Source organism: Homo sapiens, chromosome 3 (assembly GCF_000001405.40).
Source record: "Homo sapiens chromosome 3, GRCh38.p14 Primary Assembly".
NCBI lineage: Eukaryota > Metazoa > Chordata > Mammalia > Primates > Hominidae > Homo > Homo sapiens.
Window position 1 is genome coordinate 98,085,887 of NC_000003.12, and position 4,243 is coordinate 98,090,129.

General features: G+C 36.7%; 1 protein-coding gene across 1 annotated transcript; it reads left to right on the forward strand.

The window, feature by feature from the left end:
• Positions 1,287-2,216, forward strand: OR5AC2 (olfactory receptor family 5 subfamily AC member 2). Its single transcript, NM_054106.1, has one exon. The coding sequence runs from the start codon at positions 1,287-1,289 to the stop codon at positions 2,214-2,216; it is 930 nt and encodes a 309-aa protein (NP_473447.1).

Genomic DNA, 4,243 nt, shown 5'->3' on the forward strand with positions numbered 1-4,243 from the left:
GGTTGTCTACTTGTTCCTGCCAAGTTGTAAGAGAGTATATGTGTTGTGGGCCGGGCGCGGTGGCTCACGCCTGTAATCCTAGCACTTTGGGAGGCCGAGGCGGACGGATCATGAGGTCAGGAGATCGAGACCACGGTGAAACCCCGTCTCTACTAAAAATACAAAAAGTTAGCCGGGCGTAGTGGCGGGCGCCTGTAGTCCCAGCTACTCGGGAGGCTGAGGCAGGAGAATGGCGTGAACCCGGGAGGCGGAGCTTGCAGTGAGCCGAGATGGCGCCCCTGCACTCCAGCCTGGGTGACAGAGCGAGACTCCGTCTCAAAAAAAAAAAAAAAAAAAAAAGAGAATATATGTGTTGTGTATATATTTTTATAAGTATTAATGCAAATTATGTTACAGATATTTTTCCAACATGTTTTGTCCTTTCCCATTTTTTATGAATTCTTTTGTCATGCCATAAAAATTAGGTAGCTATGCCTATATTCAATGATTAGCCTAATTCTCTTTCTCATGCAATGGTTTTGGATTTGCATCTTTTTCCATTGCAATGGTCTTCCACATGGTTTTATTGCCTCTGGAGGGTGGTAGAATATGCCACACCAAAATATGCCACTTTGGCAGATGGATTATTTTGAGCTAAAGGTACATAAAGAAACAGCAGATGGAAGAAGGGCATTCTAATTTCACCTCTTCTTCCTCAAAACAAGTGGTTAAAAACTCCCATGTAAAAGATGCCCTCCCTGTACCAGAAGAAATGAAACATTATTTTCATTTTTTAATGAATTCTATCCAAGAGAATTCTATACAAACAACGCTTGTTAAAATAATTCTAATCTTCCTTTTACCTCCCTGCATAATTTAGCTGCTTTTCCACAATTGCTTTTCTTTGTTCAACCTAGTATGAAAGCCTTTAGGTTTTGCCACATGTTCAGGTCTTCATTTACTTATGAGGACTTTTATGTTATGTAAAACTTTTATACATTTGTATGCTTTTCTCTTCTGAATCTGGCTTATGTCCATCTGATTCTCAGGCCAACTAAGAGAGTAGAGGCAAAATTTTGCCTCCCCTACACCTCAAATATATGCATTCATTTCAGTATTTTCCAATTTTAGTGTCAAATACCTAAACACACACTTTGTAAACAGATTTTACTAATGGATGTAAGTTAGACTTTAAAAACTGTTAATTAAATGGGAAACTCAAAGGTATAAATATAATAAAATGCTACCGCTTTGTGTTATCTTTAGTGATTGTCTTTGTAACATGTTTTCTTATTACAGTGACGAGTATGGATATATCAGAGGGAAATAAGACTCTTGTGACAGAGTTTGTTCTCACAGGACTTACAGATCGACCATGGCTGCACGTCCTCTTCTTTGTTGTGTTTTTGGTGGTCTATCTCATCACCATGGTGGGCAACCTTGGACTGATAGTTCTAATTTGGAACGACCCCCATCTTCATATGCCCATGTACTTATTCCTTGGTGGTTTAGCCTTTTCAGATGCTTGTACTTCAACCTCTATAACCCCTAGGATGCTGGTCAATTTCTTAGACAAGACTGCAATGATATCCCTAGCTGAGTGCATCACCCAGTTTTACTTTTTTGCTTCCAGTGCAACTACAGAATGCTTCCTCCTGGTGATGATGGCCTATGACCGCTATGTAGCCATATGTAATCCCTTGCTTTATCCAGTGATGATGTCCAACAAACTCAGCGCTCAGTTGCTAAGTATTTCATATGTAATTGGTTTCCTGCATCCTCTGGTTCATGTGAGTTTACTATTGCGACTAACTTTCTGCAGGTTTAACATAATACATTATTTCTACTGTGAAATTTTACAACTGTTCAAAATTTCATGCAATGGTCCATCTATTAACGCACTAATGATATTTATTTTTGGTGCTTTTATACAAATACCCACTTTAATGACTATCATAATCTCTTATACTCGTGTGCTCTTTGATATTCTGAAAAAAAAGTCTGAAAAGGGCAGAAGCAAAGCCTTCTCCACATGCGGCGCCCATCTGCTTTCTGTCTCATTGTACTACGGAACTCTGATCTTCATGTATGTGCGTCCTGCATCTGGCTTAGCTGAAGACCAAGACAAAGTGTATTCTCTGTTTTACACGATTATAATTCCCCTGCTAAACCCATTTATTTACAGCTTGAGAAATAAAAAAGTCATGCATGCATTGAGAAGAGTTATAAGGAAGTAAACAGTTCCAAAGGGAAATGTCAAATCATTTATTTTTTCACCCTTTGCATAAATAAGTCAACAAGTCTTGTGGTTAGCCATGGCTCTGCCATTTCATCAGAGGGCTAGTGGTCAGGGTGGTCACTGAGCACTACGTGAAGAAACCCAGCTTTGTACAATGTTTACTTGGATTTGGGTCCAGTTGAAGTGTCTTTACATCAACCATGGTTGATTTCTTTAAAAACATTTTACTTCCTTGTTTTCTGAACATTTAATCTTGAAAATTTATTATTTTCCAGGGACCCTACATCTAAATTCCATTGAATAACCGACAATAATTGAAACTGTTATATAAGAGCCATTTAGTTCACAAACCTAGTTTACTGCACTAGGCTCTGTGATACCCTACCATACAAGAATAAAATGATAAAAACTCAGAGTCTTGCAGAAAAAGTGTTCTAGAAATAAAAGTGAGAAATAGTAATAAAAATTAAGAGTTTAAAAAATGGTGTATTTTTTAATTTTTAATTTCTGGTATATCTTAATGACAAAAATTTTTAAAAGCTTGTCTTGAACAATGGACCATCAAAATTTAAAACTTTCCATATCTAAAGTCGATATACTAGCTTTAATATAAGGCATTATATAATACAATTGCATTCAATAATATGCAGGTTAGAAAATATCTCAGGATATAGCCTTCTCAAACAGTACAGATCTTCTATACTCTATTTACAGGAATATTTTGTTTGCAATTATAAGCATGATAAAAAAATTTGCATAGAGATTGCATTGCTATACTCCAAGAGGCAGAAGACAAGGATAAGAAACAGGTCAAATATGTATGGATATTGGTGTAAAATTGAGCTGGTAGATTCTTTTAAAGGTGAGATCAGGTTCTCTTGGTGTCAGCCACCAATTTACTTCCTTTTTTTTTTTTTTTTTTTTTTTGTTTGAGACAGAGTCTCTGTTGTCCAGGCTGGAGTGCAGTGGTGCAGTCTCGACTCACTGCAACCTCTGCCTCTCAGGTTCAAGCTATTCTCCCGCCTCAGCCTACTGAGTAGCTAGAATTACAGGCATATGCCACCAGGCGGGCTAATTTTTGTGTTTTTAATAGAGACAGGATTTCACCACACTGGCCGGGCTGGTCTTGAACTCCTGACCTCAGGTAATCCTGCTGCCTCGGCCTCCCACAACTTACTTCTTTTCAGTGACAGACCTACGTTAATATATGTATCAGCTATTTTAGCAAAATGGAACTGACACATATTTCCTTTTGCAAAGTATGAATCATGTTCTTTGAGCAAGCTGTTTTTTCAAGCATTATATTTAGGAAGAAAGAATTAATAGGAAATGAAAATTAAAATTTAAGTTGTTGCAACAGGAGTGAAACTTGTTAAAGAAAAATTTTAGCTGAATAAAATTTTAAAAAGTTTAATTGAGCAGAGAACAATTTGCCAATTGGGCAGTTTCCCAGCCAGAGTAGGCTCAGAGACTCCACGGCAGCTACATGGTGGAAGATTTGTGGACAGAAAAAGGAAAGTGACATACAGAAAACAAAAATGAGATACAGAAAGAGCCAGATTGGTTACAGCTCCACGTTTTTCTTATTTGAACATGGTTTGAACAGGTGGCCACCTTTAGCCAAAACTCGGTGACTGGTACAAGAGCAGGTTACAGTTTGTTAACAATTCTGTTTAGGTTTGTACAGACAAAGTTTTAGGCATAAAATATATAAGGAGGCAGCCTTAGGCTAAACTTAATTTAACAAAGTGTGCTCTTGTTGAAGAATTTTAAAAGTTATTTTTAGTTAGCTTTTTTGCCTGTAATTCCAACAGATACACCAAAATATTAATCTAATATGTAGACATATTCTATATCTTAAATGTATTGATTATTTGACTTAGGAATATAAATTTAAAATGTTAATTCATTTGTATAGGTGTACAGTTTCATTCCTATGGATCTCCACTAACAAATGGCTTTTTTAAAAACTACACAACTGAATGTACTCCTTTTAAAAATTTTTTTTATTATACTTTAAGTTCT

Excerpts from the sequence above, each read along its gene's own strand:
- OR5AC2 (NM_054106.1), top strand. The coding sequence starts at position 1,287 with ATGGATATATCAGAGGGAAATAAGACTCTTGTGACAGAGTTTGTTCTC.